Source organism: Homo sapiens, chromosome 8 (genome assembly GCF_000001405.40).
Source record: "Homo sapiens chromosome 8, GRCh38.p14 Primary Assembly".
Taxonomy (NCBI): Eukaryota; Metazoa; Chordata; class Mammalia; order Primates; family Hominidae; genus Homo; species Homo sapiens.
In genome coordinates, this window is record NC_000008.11 from 138,593,213 (window position 1) to 138,613,978 (window position 20,766).

Genomic DNA, 20,766 nt, shown 5'->3' on the forward strand with positions numbered 1-20,766 from the left:
GTCGGGGGGTGGGGGTCAAGGGGACAGAGGGCATTAGGACAAATACCTAATGCATGCAGGGCTTTAAACCTAGATGACGGTTTGATAGGTGCAGCAAACCACCATGGCACATATATACCTATGTATCAAACCTGCACGTTCAGCACATGTATCCCAGAACTTGAAGTAAATTTTTTTTTTAAAAAAAAACCTTTTGTTAAAAAAAAAGTTTTTAAATTTATTTTTTAATCCTTCCTCTCTCTCTCACATCTGTCTTCCTGCAGAGAGAGTAAGTGTTCTGCTGACACTTGGCTTCTTCTGACCTGTTTGCCACTGTGTGATGAGTTAAATCATATGGCCTCCGCCCTTTGAAGGAGAGACCTTCTGTTGGCTGGAGCTCTGATGTCCTGATAAGTCACTGCCTTGAGACCTGGGCAGTTAACAGCTGTTTTGTTCCAATTTTAAGGCTGGCATTTAATCTCCATTGAGATTAAATGTCTTATTCCTCAGTGCTAAACTCAGTAGGGGAAAAAGGAGGCATGTTGTTTACCTCCCTGAAACTTGAGCAGCGGAGATGGAGAGAGAACAAGAAAGTAGGAAGGAACTGATTCAATCTTCCTAGCAGAAGCATAATTTTGTAAAAATGTCAAGTATGAAAGCCTCTTATGCATATGATAAAATTATATGATGCCAAAACTCTGGGTGTTACCAAGCTACAGGGAATGAGAGTGGCATGAATAATGCATGCAGTGCCACCTCCCAGCCCTGTTCCTTCTCCGCCCTCCAGGAGTACACGGAGCATATCTCCTCCAGGTCTTCACTCACCTTTGGGACCTATGGGTCCAGAGGGTCCTTCCAGACCCCCCTGCCCAGGACGACCTGGCTCCCCCATGGGGCCGGCCCGGCCTGGAAGCCCATCTTTTCCAGGGGGCCCTGGGGGCCCAGGTCTGCCTTGAGATGACTTCATGTACGCCGGGGGCATCTGGGCCAGGAGGTAGGCGAGTCTGGCTGTAAAGTAGAAAAAGAGAGGCATTTCATGAAGAACAGATAGTGGACATAGGACAGGATGGCTACTCACTGACAACTCAGAACCAGGGGGCCGATAATAGCTGCAGAAACGGACATAGGACAGGATGGCTACTCACTGACAACTCAGAACCAAGGGGCCGATAATAGCTGCAGAAACAACATCAATGACACGTCACATGACACATGTGCAGCATTTGTATGGGCACCTTCTGATTGCGGCTGGCCATGGGGTGACTTAATCAGTAGTGACCATCGCTGCCCCTGGAGCAAGTCTGCCCAGGCTGGGATCCCAGGACAGCCACGGACAGCCAGGTGGCCTTGAGCAAGCTACTTGACCATTCTCAGCCTTGGTGTCCCTTTCTACGCAATGGAGACAAAGAAACCGCACCCTACCCCACTGGGCTGGAATGAGGATGGAGTAAGTGAGATGATGCATGTGGAATAGTGCCTGGCACTTGCTAAGTGCTCAGGAGATGCTGGCTGCTACCCCAGGCGCAGAACGACGGAAGCCATAGTAGCATGGACAGCAGTAGCAGCAGTAGCAATTGCAATGGTCAGTTGGGGAAACTGATGCTGGGGTGGAGGAGGTAAATGGCTTACACAAAGCTATGTTGGTCACTTTTCCTCTCCGATGTCAAAGTCCTCATCTATAAGCTAAAGGGCTGGACATGATGGTCACTGGAGATCCTATACATCTAAAATGTTAATATGACAGAACTGATTAAAAAACCCAGAGGTCCAGTGCTGGTCTGGCAGCCTTTCAATGGGACAGGGGATATATGCACATCTGGTGGCCACCAAGGGCAGTCTTTGTTAGCCATGCAGTCATAGGTAATCAGACCCAAACTGCTATTTTGCAGACAGTGTGACCAAAACCAGAGGCTGGGAGGCTACCCAAGGCCCCCGGCGTTTGATAGGGGAAACCAGGGTAGAGTCAGGCTCTTCTGACTGCCTGGTTGATCACTTCCCAGAGTGTCTCCCTCCTACTACTCCTCTCACAAGGTGGCAGGAGGACAGGTGGTTGGCTTCTGCGACCTTGACAAATTGCTCAACTTTTCTGAGCCTTGATTTTCTCATCGTTAAAGTGGAGTGGATGCTCCTTCCTCAAAGGCCTGTTTGGAAGAAAGGACTCAGCCCAGCAGATTCTCTATCCAAACCATTTTGAAACGGCTCTTGTCTCTGCTCTTGGGCTAGAAATCCCCCAAAAGCAAAGGTTATTTCTGTCACTGATGAATCCAGGATTCAGAAGGTAGAACTCAGAGATCTACACACATGAGACCTCAGAACACCACCCACCCATGGTGCCCACCAATTTGTTCCTTATTTCCCTCCTCTCATCGCCTCCTTCTCCCACCCAAAACCCACTCCTTAACGTGTGCTTCAGAAAACAGCCCTTTGCCCTCATTTCCATACAGGAAAAAGATCGTGTTCTTTTTCCTGCATGGAAATGGACTGTGTTCCCCTGGACACTCCAAGAGGACAGGAAGGAGGGCCGTCTTGTTTATAGCTGTGTCCTTGCTCCCAGCACAGACTCTCGCAATGGGAGGTGCAAGATAACTGAGACATGATCATGTGAATAAACGTGCCCTCCCCTTTTGTCCTTGTGCTCCTGGAAAGTAGTTATGGATTTCTCTTCTTTGCTGCAACAAGAACTTGTGTGACTTTCTTCTCCTCTAACTTCCTATTGCAGAGGGAATGGGAAAGGCTGTTGTTCAAGAGAGCTTGGTGATGAAGAACACAGAACCTTCAGTGAGGCTGCCCAGGTGCAAATCCTGGCCAGATCTTCCCAGCTCATCAACCTTAAGTTACTTAGCCCCTAATAATTCTGCTTCTAACAATTCTTACAATAATTACATGAGCCTCATGAGATTGTTTGGAGGCTGCTTTGGGTTAACACTTGCAAGTGCTGAGAACTTCACCTGATCTTGGCAAATGCCAACATGTTGGCACGATTACTACTATCCTCCTACCTTCCTCCCTCCCTAAGCATCTGCTACGCACAGGCACATGCTAGACCTGGGGACTTAACAATGAGTCAATGCAACATGACTGAAAGGATTTTAGTTCCTTGAAAGCACTAGGCCTGCCTGCCCTGCTCAGGGCCTTCATACATGTTGCTCCATAGACCTGGGGTCACATTTCATCTTTCAACTTGTAGCTCACATGGCCCCTCCTCCAGGAAGCCTTCATTAATCCACTCCCTGGCCTCTGAACTATCTTAGGTATGTTCATCTGTCCTCTTTTAATGCCTGCTGTGACAAATAAAATTTAAGAACCTCTATTGACTTTACTAAAATCATCTTGTCTATTTGTTTATCTACCTCCTCTGGACTGTGAGTTTCATGAGGCTCATAGCAGTAACTAAACAAAATTCTTTACAGACTAGATAAATGGCTCAATGCACAGAATAAATGATTGATCATAGCAGAGCTCTTTTTGTAGATAGTGAGCTCTCCTTCACTAGAGGTAACCAAGTGAAAGCTGAAGGACTAGTCCTAGAGAAAGTATGTGTCAGATAAAGGACAGAACAGTCTTCAGGGCATTCCCCAACCCTGATAGTCTACACTTGAGCTGCCGGTCAAGTGCTTTTCTTATTCCAGGATGCAAAAGCATTCAAGGCTGAGTGAGAGAACTGCTTCCTGGGCTCTTCTCTGCAAGACCGTAACACAGTCCAGATACTCACTTTCAAGCTGCTTCCCCAGCTCTTCTTGAATAAGCCGACGCAGGGTTTCCATGGATGGAGACTCCCCCTAGGAGGGAGGGAAGGTGGAGTCATTCATCTTCCCAGTAACTTCTGCCACCTAAGAACCCTGAGGACTTGGGAAACCAGGAAGTTCGTAGGTGGTATATACCCACACAGGGAAGCACATGTTCCTAGCCCAATCTTTTCCACATCTCTAATCCCTTCCTCTCTTCTCTGTTATGCAGGCAGCATCATCCCATTTTACACAGCAACCCGGACTCTGGGCTCTCTGAGCCACTACTGCCCTTCCTTCCATACCCTTCCAGCGTATTCACTGGATTTCCTTCCTGCTGAAGCCACTGTGCCCATTAATTCCACTCATATTCCCTTCTTCGCACTGGACCTGGGAGATCTGGCCCCTAATCTCTGCTGCCAAAGTTGTGTCCACCTTTTGGACATAGCCTACAGGCTGCCTTCTATGTGAACTCATGTGGATTTCCCCTGCCTGGCTACTTGGCCACTCTGGTTCCCATGCTCTGGTTTTCCCTGCTTAGGTCCACTGTGGCTCTAAACAACTTTCTCACCAAGTCCTGGTGCTTGGTCCACAGAAGCTGATGAGTTTGACAACCAGAGGAGCAAGTGTTGTCTCCAAGCTCAAAGAGTGGTATGTGATTCTTAGAAGAACTTAGAGGAGCTGTCCTCAGGCTGTACAGAGCTGGTCCCTTCCTGCCTGACTGCTCCAGGGCACTGTCTACCCCTCAAGGGCAGGGGTCTTACGGTGCTCATCTCTGTAGCCCCATACCTGGCATGAGATAGATTCTGTTTCCTTATTCTTTTATTCTGACCAAGAATCTTCTATGTTAGTCCCAGTATTCTCATCACCGCCCATAGCAGCAGGACTGGCAGAACTTGGCAAAGCTCCAAGAGGGCTTTGGAAGTCAGCTGAGTGCTCCAGCCTCTCCACTGACTTGGCCAAGAGACAGGCTCTGGCTGCCTGGCGTCTTTCAGGGCACCTGAAACCCAGGCTGACCACAGCCACCAGGAACTGACGCGACTGCAGAGCATCAGAAGTGGCAGGGACATGGAGGTCATCCAGACCTGGGCTCTGAGAAATATGAGGGTCTCCAGAAGACCATATGGGCTGTTGAGCCGGAAGGAGTGGTCACATGGACTTCCACCAGGGGATCTCTGCGTTTATCTTTTTATAGCCCGTGTATGCCTGTGTCATGAGATTGTGTAAAATGAAAGTGCTGCTACTAGAATAAAGGATGTTTAAAGAAAGAAAAAACCATCATCACTCTAAATAAGCCCTTGTTCCCAGCTTTGGAGAAAGAGAGACGCAGGGGGACGAAGGAGTACTCTAGGTCGGCAGATACAAGAGTGGCATAGCCAGGCATCGAAATGGATGGTAAACCATCCCACAGTGAAGTTCAGACCCCTGGGAGCTGGGTGTCTTCTCAACTGCCTTTTGCACAAGGTCCTGGGCAGAAGAGTTCTACAGCCCAAGAAATTAAGTCTTAAGGATTCATTACCACGAGGAAGAGGGTTGAACAGAAGAGGGACTATTTTTGAGCATTTCTTAAGCTAGACACGTTATTTCACTTGATCATCATAAATCAGAAGAGGATTTTGTTTTCCCTTTTTGCAGACAAGGAACGGCAGATTCAGAGAGGAAAAGTAGCCTGCCCCAGGTCATACCTTCAGTCACTAGAAGACTGGGATCTGTAAACTGGTGCCTCTGAAGTCCACACACTTCCCTGGCTCCCCCTTAGGCCCCGAGGAGCCCCGAGTCCAAAGCCATATTAGCATCCTTACCCTCAGTCCTGGAAATCCCGGCTGGCCTGGAGGCCCTGGGGGTCCAACTGGTCCATTCTCCCCAGGTAGTCCTTGGGGACCCATCAGGCCTGTGTGGCCTTTGTGGCCTGGGATTCCAGGGTCCCCAGGCTGGCCTTTTCCACCAGGAGGTCCTTTGTCACCTTTGATCCCAGGATCTCCCTAAGGAGGAAATAAGCATGTCAGCATGTGTCTCAGGGCTGGAAGCTGTACCCCATGCAGCTGCAAAAGGGGTTCCCCCAGTCTGCCTCTTAGATCACTGAAAGGGAGACCTTGGCCCTGGGTGGCCCATGTGTGGCTTGGGGTGAGAAGAGCCCCAGAATCCATCACATGCACTGTCCTGATTGTACAAATGAAAATATGGGGGAGGCTGAGGCTGGCAGATCATGAGGTCAGGAGATTGAGACCATCCTGGCTAATACGGTGAAACCCTGTCTCTACTAAAAATACAAAAAATTAGCCGGGCGTGGTGGCAGGCGCCTGTAGTCCCAGCACTCTGGGAGGCCGAGGCAGGCAGATCACGAGGTCAGGAGATCGAGACCATCCTTGTTAACCCTGTGAAACCCCGTCTCTACTAAACAAAATACAAAACATTAGCCGGGCGTGGTGGCAGGTGCCTGTAGTCCCAGCTACTCAGGAGGCTGAGGCAGGAGAATGGCGTGAACCCGGGAGGCGGAGGTTGCAGTGAGCCAAGATCGCACCGCTGCACTCCAGCCTGGGCGACAGAGCAAGCCTCTGTCTCAAAAAACAAAACAAAACAAAACAAAACAAAACAAAAACATGGGCAGCCAGGGCAAGATGTTATGACTCCATCATTAGCAAAATTTTTTTTAAAAAAACTAGCCAGGTACAGTGGCAATTGCCTATAGTCCCAGCTACTTGGAAGGCTGAGGTGGGAAGATCGCTTGAGGCCAGGAGTTTGAGACGGCAGTGAACTATGATCATGCCACTGCACTCTAGCCTGCGTGACAGAGTGAGACTCTGTTTTTTAAAAAAGAAAGGAAAAGGAAAAAAGAAAACATGCAAGGCACAGAGACAGAAAGCCACCAGCCCATGGTCACACAGGTAGTCTATAGAGAACAGGATAAGAATGTTGATTGCGGAATTCCAATCCTATTCTCAATCCCAAGAGTGCAGCTCCTCGGGCTGCCTGGAGAAGGCTGGCCCTGGCAACTGAGACTGATGGTGGAGCTGCTGACCCCTTTATGGCCTGGTTTTGCTCTCTAGAGAGACAGTGGTCCTCTCTCAACAGAGGTGTCTCCCTCCCAGGTCATCTCTCTCTCCTTTCTCTCAGCTCTAAGGAGTTCACAGAGGATTATCCAATGGCCTCCAACACTGCCTAGGGCTCATCTCTCCCCACAGCTGACCCAGAGCTGGAAGTGCGGGACCAATGATTTGGGAACTATGGCAAGCCCAGGGCAGTCCAGTCCTCTGCCTTTATGTGCTACTGTGTGTTTGACCAGCAAGTTCAAATGATTAGTTGGTCTGAAAATATGGCAGCCACATTAATGGCCTCAGAGATAATGGAACTCCATTGCTGGGATGTAGCTGAGAAAGGGAGGCACAGGGAGAAAAAGAAGAGACACCAGATGGTAATCGTAAATGTGTGGCATGGCTGAGAACGTGACCCAGAGCCACAGAAAAGGAAAACAGTGCAGTCACCAAACCGTCTCTAACATACGCACTTAAATGAAAAATGCAAGGAGTGAGACAATAGATAACGTCTGACATGCTCAGAGTGGGGAGGGGGTTAAATACAAGGTAAATGCACATTTATAACACACACCACACACAATTCTGTGTGCACAGACTCCCTCTGAAAAGATAAAAAGCCAAAGCCCTGTGATGGACCCTGGAGAGGAGATGGGGCTAAGGGGTGAGATGGAAGGGGCACAAAGTTTTCATTGCATTCACTTGTCCTGCAATTTTCACTGTTGAACAATGTACCTGTATTGCTTTTAATATTTCAACAATAACCCAAAATCAGTGAATTCAAAAATAATAATGTAGCCAGGTCCAAAGAAGTCACTTCAATTTTCCAAGCGTGATGCATTTCACAGGACGTTGCAATCTCTGTCAGTGATCTTGAATTCAGGGGTCTAGTAAAGTCCTGATATTTGTACACCTGGATGCTAAGGCCCTATCTCATGCATGGTACAGAATTTTCTATTCATTAAATATCTCACAATCACTTTGTGGTGACAGGACTTATCCCATATTTCAAATGTTCCCAGGAGTACAAAGAAAAGGGTAGTCTAATGGCTCCCTGGCAATGTGCCATGAAAGCACTTAACAGGGAAAAGGCAAGCTCTCCGCCTATTGATTAGGTATTAAAGAAGAGATGCCATTGGTGGTCTGAGTTCCTTGGCTCTCAACCGAAATTCAAGCCCATATCCTGTGCCAGTAGCTCCCACGGCTGCCTGAGTCGCATTCTCGGGGGGGAACATCAACGCCTTCTCAGCCACATGTCCCTCATGTCCCTGGCTCCATCGCTCAGGAACCAACAGCCACGGGATAGAGGAATCAAAGTCATGGGAAGGAGACAGGAGGAAGATCCAGGGGGGAGAATCCCTGAGACTCTGCCCCCACTTTTCTCACTCCTCTGGCTGTGGGAGAAGCCAGCCGGCTCCCCACCCACCCCACTTGCGAAGAAAGCCGAGATAAATTCTTTTCAGGACCATGGAAAACAAGCGGGGGTGGGCTGGGGGTGCCTGGGACGTCCATGTCCGTGTCGTGCAACAGTGTGACAGCGTGAGGCTGACCAAACGCAGGATTGTGGGCAAACGAGACGCATAAAGCCTCCAAAGGGAGCAGCAGTCGTGAGTGTGAGAACGCGTCCGCCTTCCACAGGCTCTTCAGAAGAAAAAAAAGAAAAAAAAGTCTTTTCCCCTCTTGTTTTTTGGAGAAATGAAATGTAAAGAAAGGCTTTCTGAGTATAACGCCAAGGCAATTCATTATGGGAAAATCTGTTCCCTTGTCACCTCCAGCGACAAATTTGGCTCCTGGCAAATTGGCACTTCGGGAGCCGAGCCCGTCTCGGCGGGCATTCGCACACGGGGAGAAAGAAATCTGTCAATGTCTCCCAAGGCTTGCCTTTGAATCTCTAATTGTGATGATTTTAGTCCTTAAAATGATAACCAAAAAGAAAAAAAGGAAAAACATAATAATAACATCAAGTACAAACAATACTGGGAGGAAAAGAACCTCCCTTTGTGGGGCTGGTGATCATCCAGGAAAAAGTGAACAAAATCACTACAGGCGGCATGATCCAGGCGGGTGTTTACTAACTGCCTTGGACAAAGGCCAGGCTCAACATCCTGTGGCCACTGTGCAAAGGTCGCGTTCGGCGTGTTCAAGGTGCCTGTGCTCTCCACTCACCCTTTCTCCTTTGAATCCAGGCTCTCCAGGCTTCCCAGGGACCCCCTGCAAGGAGAAAGAAAGGACAGTCATTGCCCCGGGCCCTCTGCACTGGTGTCCTTGCCTTGCTGGATATTCTTCACAGTCCTGCATGCTGAGGACAAGGGACCCTCAAAAGATAAGGTCCCCCGAGGGCTCCTTTCTGATTTATGCCTACATGGTGGGGGTGGGGGCGGCACACTGTGCCTTCTCTCCTTTCCTCCTGGCACTGTCCACCTTTGACTGATGGCACCAGCCCTGGGTTGGCCCCTCCAGATTCCTCCCCTACCTCTTGTGGGATAAACCCCACTCCCTTTAACATGTCCAGGAGGCCCTGCACGAATTGTTGTCTTCAACAGGCTGTCACTGCCCTGGATGACTCTAGTGCAGGGGACAGATAGTTCTGCGGTCTCATGGCCTCTGTTCCTTGTCTTGCCCTGTGCCTGCAGCATGCTCCCCACCTCTCTGTCCGGATACCTACTTCCCACCTGGCCTGCAGGTCTCCTCTTCAGGAAGCCCCCCGATCACCCAACATTTAGAGAAGTGGCCCTCTTCTATGTTCCCACAGTCCCCACTCCCTTCTGGAGGGCAGTCACGTCAGGGAACAAGGGACACGGCCCACAGTGCCCACTGCTTCTGTCATTGTCTCCACCTGGAATGTCTCTTTCTTCCCTCTCTGCCCCCAGCTCCTCTGCCATCTCCTCTCTAAAGCATTGACTAATCCCTCTGGCCAGTGTCCATTCTCACGCATGGGTTACTTTCCTGCCAGCTGACACCTAACTTTCTTTCTCCCCAGATATGATGACCAAGGTATGCTTGTCTGCCTGCCTCTTAGACAGCACACATTTGGAAAGCAGAGCTTGATATTGGCGAAGGAAATTCAGCCCGGGGGCTCTTTTCCCATCTCTTGGTTGATAGACTCTACATTGATTAAAGAGAAGAAAGTCAAAGAGAGTACTCTTGAGCTCTTCTGAGCCTGGCCATTTCAGCCCCAGAAACATTCATCGCATCCCTTTCATGCAGGTGCCATGTTCAGCCCTGAGACCTATGCAGAGGACAGAGATAAGACATGGTCCTCATCCTCACAGAGTTCACAACCTGTCCATGAGGTGGCGGTGGGCATGAGTTGATTCTAACACAAGGCAGACTGATTTAATTGCTGTAACATAATTACCAAAAGCTGCCTCGGTATTCCTGGATGAATCTTTAAGTTGGGAAGCACAGAGCCTTGAAAGTTGGATAAAATTTAACAACAAAAGGCGGCAGGAAAGGCATTATAGGTGCGTGGAAGAGTGAGGACCAAGCCTTGGATGGGAGAAGGTGGAGATATACTGGGCATGAGGAAGCAGGAGGCTCCCATTCTAAGGGGAGAGCTGGATCATATCTGGAAGACTTAGGATGCCTGCTTAGCCTAGAATTTATTCGAGAAGTCCAAAGAGAATTCGTGTAGGCAGCAGCCCAAGTACAAGCACATGGGGCTGACGCAGCCCTCAGAAATGGGAGCTACGGGTATTTCCTCTTTACCTCATTCCAGGAAGCAGAGTAAACAATGATTGGGCAATGAATGAATGATACACTCAGTGAGTGGCACCCTATGGCTGGGGTGAGGAGTAAACACTTTCCGAATATGAAGCTATCCGACTCAGCTTCAAGGAAGTGACCACCTCCCTGAAGTTAAGAACGTGACCCAAAGGCACAGGGTAAAAATGCGTCTTCCTCATTCAAGGGGGAGAATGCAGGCCTTGAAACGGAGAAGCTAATTTCCATAGACCTACTTTCTCTGCATTCAGTCATTCTTCTGTTCATCTCTCATCAAATATTTTTGGTATCTAGTCTGTGCTGGTCTCCTGGGCTACAGCAGAACAGAGCAGGGTGCTAAAACCAAGCATTGTGGGGGGTCTGCTTTGCTTCAGTGTCAAGGAAAGTTGGCAAAGGCAATATTTCAGCTGAGACCTCAGTTTGAGTAGGAATAAGCATGGGAAAAGAGAGCCCTTGGAAAAGAACTTGGCACGTCTCAGGAGCTAAGAGGCCAGTGACTAGAGCTTAGAGAAGGAGGGGAGTGGTGGGACTGTGGCAGCCTGGATTCCACGGAGAGTGCAGGGGGAGGGCAGACCTGCAGGTTGTACTGCAGTGTCTCCATATGCTTATGCTCAGCAGACCCTCTGTCTGCTGGGTAGAAGACTGTGGAGGGGCAAGGCTGGACAAAGGGAGATCCATTAGAGGATCACTGCAGTGTTCAAGTGAGAGCAGGTGACAGATCAGATCAGAGTCCCAGTGGCAGAGACAGAGAGAACTGGACAAAACCTACAGGTATTTGAAGTCAGAGTTGACAGGATTTGTTGATAGCTTGGATGCTGAGGAATAAACAAGTGAAACAGACATACCAAGACGGTGCCCCTGCACTGGCTACATAATTTGTGGGGCTCCGGGCAAAATTAAAACATGAGCCAGGTGTTCAAAAGGCATTAAGAATTTCAAAACAGTGAAGGTAGAGAGTGTTAAGGCAAGTGTGGGCCCTTCTAAGCCCAGGGCCTGAGCCTGCATAGACTGCCCATTGGTGGTAAAGGGTTGCCAAGGGGTGAGTGGGCGTGTGATACTTGCCTCCTTGCCTGGGACTCCTTTCTCTCCTGGTTCTCCCTGGAAAACAGAACAGAATATCAGTGGCTCTGCAGCATCAGCCCAATGTCAGTACTAAGACTGTCTTTAAAACTGACATTTCCACTCAAGTCATGTTCCAGCAAAGACAACAATCGATGGTCTACCTGGCCAAGGACATCCCAGACAGGCTCTCTGGCCAGCCTGTGCAGGGGAAAGCAAAAAATCACCCCAGGTTAGGAAGAAGAGCCACGGGTTAAGAGCTCCTTGTCAATGGGATGGATATGACTCCACCAAGAGGGCCTCCAGGATATCGATTTTACAAATAGTCCTGTTGTGATCAGGAGGCCTCTCTGAGAAGTAGGCCCATAATGTGTGAAACAAGAAACCAATAAGACACTGGGCTCCAGGTTCAATTCTTGGCTCCTCCACTGTTTGGCTCTGTGATCTTAAACAACCTCCCTACAACTTCCATAAGCTCTCTGTGCCTCAGTGTCTTCATCTGTAAAATGAGAACAGTGGTTGTACCTGCCTCAAGGATTACTGTGAGGTGTCAATGTGTTAGTTCTCCAAAAGCACACTGGGCAGTGGCAGGCATGTAGTGAGGGCTGGACAAGCACCCCACTCTTATCATGACTCAGGAGCAATTGCTGCAGTGCATCCACAGGAGTGGGTGCCTGGCTGCTCAGTAGCAGCAGATTATTAACAAGGGGATGGAGAAGGAGACTTGGCCTTTAGCAAGGGAGTGAATAAGCCCACGTAAAAATCAGTGAATGGGACCGTGCAAAGCCTGGGCAGCATGGTAGAGAAGGGTAAGAGGGGCTACCACCTCCAACGGGCTGGGCTTGGCTGGCAGTGGGGCATGCAGAGGGGTCAGAATTAAATTGGAGGGTATGGACAAGAACATGGGTAAGCTCTCTACTCTGGTATGTTACATGCAAGCCTCATTCATCAGGTCAGCAGTCCAGGGAGTGGACTGCAATATGCAGATGACACCAGAGGGCTCCACTTGGAAATGTTTGAATCCCTCAGCATCTCCCTGTCCAGAAACTTGGCAAAGATTACCTTACAGCTTCCCCCTGCCTTAAGCTGTCAAGTCAGGAGACCTTGACTCAAGGACAAGCTGGAGTGCAAACCTACCACATGGCTTTGAGTAAATCACTTACATGTTCTGACCCTACGGCTCAAACTTGCTCACCTTTACTATTATTTCCAGGGGTCCTTCAAGTTCTAGGATCATGATCAACACCATTGTCCCACCACATGCATCATTACAATGGTTTGTATTTATTGAGCACCTGCAGTGGGTCAGGAACCATTGCTGATCCCTTTATATGAATGATTTCATTTAATCCTCAGAAGTAGATGCTGTCGTTATCCTCGTTTGCATAATGAGACAGCTAAAGCATAAGAGGTTATGACACTTTCCTAAGATCTCATGATTAAGGAGTGATGGCACTGAGATTGCCATGCAGGTGTGACCTCTGGGCACTCCACTGTCTCTTAAACCATGATGCAACTTTGACCCCACACAGGTCATCATGGCCTGAGCAGACAGAACTGAGGACACAGGAGGTGGCAGGGAAGGTACTGCATGTGAACATCACTACCTGGAGCCAGGTATCTTGGGCCCCACTGGGGTTCTCTGCTTACCGGAGGCCCACGGGGACCCAGGAAGCCAGGAAGTCCTGGGCTGCCATTTTCCCCTTTGCTTCCTTTCTGGCCCTGCAAAGAGAAAACTGAGAATTAATTCCTCAAGGTCACGTACCAACTCAAGCAGATTTGGAAACCTTGTGACCACTCTGAAATCAAAAGGCCTGAGACATCCACACAACACACAAATCCTCCCATGATGGAGGGGCATGGGTTAGGAAAAGACACGGGGTCTTGGGACTCCTGGTAGTGCTGTCACAGCCAGGGGAAGAAGATGAGGTCTCCCTGTAAACAGCCAAGGGTCTTTCCATTTGAAGCAACGAAAACAAACTGAGACAGATATTTAACAAAGACCCTGAGATGTGTGGAGCTCTCCAAGGAGTGCTCTAGTGAGATGGCATACCACTGCCCATGAGGCGGCCAAAGCTCACTTGGTAGAATCACATTTTGGGAAAGGACTTTGGGAATTTTTCAACTTCAACTTTTCTGGGGAGCCATCATGCATGGGTCAGTACTTCCAGGATCAACTCTGCACTAGGGGAGGTGATGGGTCCAGCCTCTTGACCCAATCCCACCTCCTCTGTTCTGTCTCACAAGCAGCAACAGGTCCCATACCACAGCCCCTGAGGGAGGTCATTATGTTTGCTAGGAAGTTGGATTCCTTTTGCATAGCTGTCCCTAGTCCAACAAGAGGAGGGTCTCCGCTAGGGTGATCAGATGCCGAGTTTGCCTGGAACCAGTAGGTTTCCCAGGATGCAGGATTTTCCAGTTGGGAAAGTTCCTCACAAACTGAGATGAGCTGGTCACCGCAGTATCCGAAGTACCAAGTCCTGGTCAGCCCATTGCCCGGTACAATTGACAGTTGGCTCACACCTTGCAGGTGGCCTTCTGAGTCAGGCAGCCAATTTTAGCAAGTAAAAATACAAGAAGACTAGATTGGAAGGAGACTAGTGGCCAGAGCTTTTCTCATCCAACCCTAGAACCCATTAAAGAACCATCTTCCCCACCATGTCTCCCCACCTACCAGGACTGAACCCCAAATCCTGTATTTGATATCTAGCTGACCAGGACTCTGCTGATTGGTATGCACCCTCTCTCTACTGCCTGCCCATTGAGCTCTCTCTGCTACCTACCTGTTGATCCTTTTTGTCTCCCACCCCCGTCCCTACCTCCATTCCCATGCTGCACACTTTGTCATTTGAGGTGGTAAGGGTTGCTCAGTCTGACCTCATCCTCCCATCCTCTGGAAACATCAAACTTCTACCCTACAACTTTGTTAAACATTTTTTTAAAAAATGTTTGTTTTGGGTGCCTATGGATGTAGACCATAGATGCCTACGGTTATAGTCAACAAAGAGCCAATCGCATGATATATACTTTAAACCTTAAAAAATGGCCCTATGGAGCCTCTTACCTCCAACCTATTTCTACCACTCAAACCCATATGTCCCCACCGATGCTTCTAGGGACAGAGGCTGGACAATCTGTAATGTGATCCACAAGCCCTTTCAAAGCCCACCCTGATGCCATCACATAGCAGCCAAAGAGAACTCACAGGGGTTCCTGAAGGGCCAGGCTCTCCTGGAGATCCCGGTGATCCATTCTTGCCCTGGTGGAAGAAACAGAGGTAATCATCCTGCCAGGGCATCAAAGAGCAGGACGGTGGAACAAAGAGATAGACTGATGCACAGGACTTGGTTTTACACAGAATCTGTTACTCTAGCCAGTGTGGCTCTCAGTCTACCACTTCATTACTCAGAGGATGTTTCTCAACTTCTAAAAGGAACTTGTAATATTTAATTCATAATATTGTTGTGAAATCAAATGAGTCCGTGGGCATGAAAAAGTCTAGCCTGGTGAATGGTGCCCACAGCTGAGGCATAGTAAATAATTATGACCACGTTCATTCATTCATCTATTCATCCATCCATTCAGTTGCTGTGTTGAAGAACAAACAAACCATCTAATACAACCCAGCTTACACATAATTGCTCACACTGCCACAGTGCTGGTCTCAGCTTAGGAAGCATGTCCATGCACTTATCTCCTTGTACTCCCCGACTAAGGAGATCATTATACTCTCATTTAAAATACGTAGATACTGAGGCACAGAGAAGAAAAATGGCTTGTGCAGAGTCATGCAGCTACAAAATGGAAGGTCCATTCACTCCAGATTCCAGGACTGAGGCTTCCAAGTCTAATTTTCTCTAACTTCACAGAGATATATTGTGCACATTCATAGTTTCGGTGAATACATTTAACAAACAGGATCCCAGTAGAGTAAAAACAAGAAAGCTCAAGAATGTTCTTGGCTACTCCCTTTCAGGATCAGACAAATTTCTATGAAGCCAAAAATTCACAGCTTCAATTCCCCAGGCTGTGTTCGTCTCTTCCTCTGCCCACCACACTCCCCCACTCAGGGCACATTCCCGTTGGCTGCTGTGTCTTTACCTGGCTCTCTTTCCCACCACGAGTAACCCAAAGGCAGAGTCTACGCCTTGTCGTTCTTTGGATTTCCAGCCTAGGAGGAGAGAGCCTCCTTGTGTGTCTCCAATGCAGTGCCAGACACACAGGAGGTTTCCTGCTAAATAATAAACCAAGGACATCCTAGAGAATCACTCTCCGTTGATCCTTTAACCAAGAGGTGTGAATGCCCTCTAATGTGCGAAGCATGCATTCACAAATGCGTTGGATTCACGGAAGCATGTTCCACTATAAAGTAGCTGATGCTGACCGGGCACTTCCTACATGCCAGACTTCTTCTAAGAGCTTTGCATTTTGCATGCATTAACTCACTCATTGCTCACATCAGACACAAACATCATCACCCTTTTACAAATGGGGAAACTGAGGCTCAGAAATGCTAAGCCACCTGCCTGCGAGGCAAGTCAAGGAGCTGAGATCTGAACATAGGCAGCACTGATTCCATCTCACACTGCTCTGCCCCTCCTTAAGGACATGCCTTATGGGTCAGCGATCATAAATACAGCTTCCACCTTGAGCCTTCAAAGCACATGCATGGCCATGGCCTCATGTCACTGGATCCTGCTGGGAATCATGCAGCACAGACGTCTTTCTCCCCATATCCCAGAATCCCCATCACAGACCTGCCAGGGATCGCTGAGCTAGTAAGGTCTAAAATCAGAGCAGCCAGCTGGATTTGTGGACTGCTTACCCATACTCGGCCCTTCCGCGAACGCTGCATAACGCTTCTCCCTGCACCTTCCTCCGCCCACCAACCCATCTGTGTCCCTCTAAAAATATGTACTTTGCCTTATCCCTATGGAAATTCTAGCCCTCCTCCTTCTTTCTCTAATCTTCCCTTCGCAGGGAGGATAAGGGCCAAGACATTGCAGAGAGGATAAGGGCCAAGACACAGTAGCATACGGTGCCAACACAGGCCATGTGCACAGAAGGCAGGGTGGTTCTGGGTGGGTGCCTGTGCTCTGTGCACTTGAGGCCTACTGGGGCTGGAACCTGGTTCCCTCCTGGGCTGCAGAGCCACTCCTGTGTCCTGCTGTCCCTCGCCAAGCCCCTTGGATCTCTGCTTCCCAGGAATGGAAACCACAGTTCCCCTTTTCAACCCTTTTGAGCTCCAAACTCCTATTCTAAGACCCCTCCTTCCAGGATGATCTTTGTGACAAGGACTTCTAGCACACATCAGCCAGTCTGGGTGTTTGAGCTGCAGGCTCTTGAATGAGAATGCTGGAGTCCAAATCCTGGCTGTGCCACTGACTTGCAGTGTGATCTTGGGCAAGTTACTAGACTTCTCTGTGCTTCCATTTCTCATCCGTGAATGCGGACAGAAATCACACCTGTCTCACAGGGTTTGGGGAGAAAATGAATGAATCATGTAAATGCACCACTCCACTGGTGCTTGTTGGAAACTAGTGGCTGTGAGGTGGTTGCCATATGGCCTATTCTTACCTCTGGGTGTCTGTAGATTTTAGAGAAAGCAAAATGACAGTTTTCAGGCCACACATACATTCGCAATCATCACAACTATTGATGGAAGCACTCTATACATATTCAATGTCTAGTTCAAAGTTGTGTGACCTTGCCAGAATCCTTCTCCTCGCTCAGAAAAGCACAGAAATTTCAATGGAGTAAAAATGAGGTTGTCAGAGAAAGAACTCGGAACTATTCTGTGTTTAAAAACAAAGTAGATATTTGGCAAACTTCAGCAGCTCATTTTTGGTATCAGATTCCTTATGATGTACCCGAGAATTGATAGGAGCAAGCTAGAACCACACAGCGGCCTCTGGGGGCCTTGGGATTTCAGGGCCATGCCCCACCCCGCATGTGGTACGTGAAGCCCTGCACAATCTCACCAGGCCAGCTGCCGTCTTCCACCTCACACACCTGTTCTGAGTACTCTCTGCTCTCCAAATGCCACTTTCCAGCCAACCATGGTGGCTTACACCTATAATTTCAGCACTTTGGGAGGCTGAGATGGGAGGACTGCCTGAGCCCAGGAATCTGAGACCAACTTGGACAACATAGTGAGACCTCATATCTACAAACATTTTTTTTAAATTCGCTGGGCATGGTGGTATGCACTTGTGGTCCCAGCTACTTGGGAAGCTGAGACAGGAGAATGGCTTGAAACCAGGAGGTCGAGGCTGCAGTTAACCGTGATCATGCCACTGAAGTCCAGCCTGGGCAACACAGTGAGAGCCTGTCTCAAAAAAAGAAGTCACTTCGCTTTCCCTCTTCTGTGCCTTTGAATGTGTTTGCACTCATCAAGAATTTGATCGCTGCCCTATGCCAAGAGGCCAGGGAGAGAAGCAGAGCTAAGGCCCCTCTTGCCTCCAGAAATGGAGAAGACCTGGCTTGGGGCACATTCCAAGGGCTGGGCACTGTTGTCTCACTTCACTGGATTACCTTGCTGGATTCTTACAGCCTCCTTGTTCCGTCCAGATTGCCTCCATTTTACAGATGAGAAAACTGAGTCCTGGGAGCAGTGCAGCAACTCACCTAGTTCATGTGATGAATACAGGAGAGGAGGAAATCAAGCCCAGATGGCTGAACTCCAGAATTGGATGCAAAAGCCCAGTGAGGGAGCTGGGGGGGACCCAGTCAGAACCACCCCACTCCTGGGGGGCTCTGGAGCAGGGTTTCTCAAATTTTTGTCCTTATCACTCCCTCCCCAGTTGCCTTTTTACACATTTTTTCCTAATCTCTCCGTATGAAGTTTTAATATCACAGCTAAGCTACACATCTGTTTATGTGCTGTATCCATATCTGCATTTGACACACACTCTTTGACACCTCAAGAATCAGTGTTTTCCCCGTGGGGTTGATATCACCCCACTGAGAGCTCACACCCAGGGAGCCTGGGCTTCAGCTCATCTGAGTCATTGTGGCCCCATCAGGGGAGACTGTGACTCTACCTGCTAAGTTCTGAAAAGAAGGGACATCCAACCTCATAGGACCTGCCACACACCCCCTCTCTAGGATCTCAAAGACAAAGCCCATGCTTGTCCACAGTAGGGTGGAGAATACAGGATTTGGCATCAGAAAGTCTTGGTCTTAAACCAACCTAAAGCTCTTACAAGCTGCATGACCTAGACTTGGGAAGCCAATATTCATTCACTTGTTTATTCCATTACTCATTCAAAAAACACACAACATACAAGCTTTACAAAAGAAGCCAGTTGCGAAAGATAAAGCGTTGGGTACAAAATGTGTCTTCTATATGCTTGTAGGCATATTGAAAATATTTTAAAAGATACACAAAATGCTTCTAACAGTGGCTTCCTCTGGAGGGTGGGATTGGGTGGGGGTGAAAAGGGAATTTTCTTGTTACTTTGTAACATTCAATTCTGTCTGATTGCCTCTACAATGAGCATGAATTATATTGATAATATATAGAGAGACACAGATATCAAAGCTGCCTTTCTGTGATGGCCCCTGGGCTTAAATGGGATAATTTATGCTTTTCTCTTTGCACAGCACTAGGCACCTAAATATCTATTTTGGACCTTCTCCATCCTCTCAGGCTGCTCTTAGATAAGAGAAGGATTTGCCTCTGTGCACAAACAGGCAGATATAACATCCAGATATGTATCCATCATATGGAATGCTATGGGGTTCAATTGTGCCCCCCCCAAATTTTTAAGTCCTAACATTCAGTTCCTCTGAATGTGACCGAATTGGGAAATTGGATCATTGTAAAGGTAATTAGTTAAAATAAGTTCATACTGAATAGGGTGGGCCCCTTACCCAACAAGGACTGGATTCCTTATAAAAAGGGGAACTTTGGGCCAGGCGCAGTGGCTCACGCCTGTAATCCCAGCACTTTGGGAGGACAAGTGGGGCAGATCACTTGAGGTCAGGAGTTCGAAACCAGCCTGGCCAACGTGGCAAAACCCCATCTCTACTAAAAATAAAAAAATAAAAAAATAATCAGCGGCGTGGTGGCACGCACCTGTAATCCCAGCTACTTGGGAGGCTGAGGTAGGAGAATCGCTTGAGCCCAGGAGGCAGAGGTTGCAATGAGCCAAGATCACGCCACTGCACTCCAGCCTGGGTGACACAGCAGGACTCCATCTCAAAAAAAAAAAAAAAAAAAAAAAAAAGCAGGGGCTGGGCACGGTGGCTTACGCCTGTAATCCCAATACTTTGGGAGGGCGAGGCGGGCAGATTATGAGGTCAGGAGATAGAGACCATCCTGGCTAACACAGTGAAACCCCGTCTCTACTAAAAATATAAAAATTTAGCCGGGCGTGGTGGTGGGCACCTGTAGTCCCAGCTACTCGGGAGGCTGAGGCAGGAGAATGGCGTGAACCTGGGAGGTGGAGCTTGCAGTGAGCGGAGATCACGCCAGTGCACTGCAGCCTGGGTGACAGAGCGAGACTCCGTTTCAAAAAAAAAAAAAAGGAAGGGGTGGGGGATTTTTGGAGAGAGACACAAGCAGGGAGAACACAATGTGAAGATGAAGGCAAAGGCCAGGGTGGTGCCCCACAAGCCAAGGAACGCCCTCGAGAGCCAGCAAAGCCCCAGAAGCTGGGAGAGACACCTGGAATGATTCTGTCTCAGCCTCAGAAGGAACCAACCCTGTTGGTGTGCATGTCAGGCTTCTGGCCTCTAGAACCACGAGGCAACACATTTCTGCCACGTACCACATTCCATTCATGGTACTTGGTTACAGCAGCCTCGGGAAACTAACCTCTAGCAAGCACCAACCCCTGGTGTGGCCCAGAGCTAGAGCACAGCCTCGGGGCAAGGTCCTATAGAGCTCCAGCAGTGCCCCGTGGCACCTTTGTAATTTTTATATTGTTGTGGGGGATGGTCCCAGAAAAGAATCTGAGTGTTGGGGGAGGTGACTAGGGGGACTTAGGGGGGCAGCTATTTACCAACTGCTAAAACATATTACAATTTTTTAACAATATATACAGTGGCACCAGAGGGAACTAACTAAATATCATTGTGGTAAAAGGTCCTGTAATAACATGAAGCACATTAGTCGCAAAGCAAAACTCACCGGTGGGCCCCTTGGTCCTTGGGGACCCTGTGGCCCAGTGGGTCCAGTGTCACCCTGGAACAAAGACAGAGAGATGGTGTCATCATCAAGTCACTGTGTGAAGGTGATGGCA

At 48.7% G+C, this 20,766-nt stretch overlaps 1 protein-coding gene across 10 annotated transcripts in view; it reads right to left on the minus strand.

The window, feature by feature from the left end:
* COL22A1 (collagen type XXII alpha 1 chain) overlaps positions 1 to 20,766 on the minus strand; it is a 325,807-nt gene that overhangs the window by 4,978 nt on the left and 300,063 nt on the right. For all 10 annotated transcript variants that reach the window (XM_017013150.3, XM_011516886.4, XM_011516884.3 and 7 more), the window contains 8 exons: positions 20,655 to 20,708; positions 14,724 to 14,777; positions 13,169 to 13,240; positions 11,522 to 11,557; positions 8,903 to 8,947; positions 5,507 to 5,686; positions 3,692 to 3,758; positions 805 to 987 (listed from right to left, as the gene is read on the minus strand). In XM_017013150.3, the coding sequence (XP_016868639.1) occupies positions 805 to 987; positions 3,692 to 3,758; positions 5,507 to 5,686; positions 8,903 to 8,947; positions 11,522 to 11,557; positions 13,169 to 13,240; positions 14,724 to 14,777; positions 20,655 to 20,708 (691 nt within the window). The remainder of the gene's footprint in view (positions 1 to 804; positions 988 to 3,691; positions 3,759 to 5,506; positions 5,687 to 8,902; positions 8,948 to 11,521; positions 11,558 to 13,168; positions 13,241 to 14,723; positions 14,778 to 20,654; positions 20,709 to 20,766) is intronic.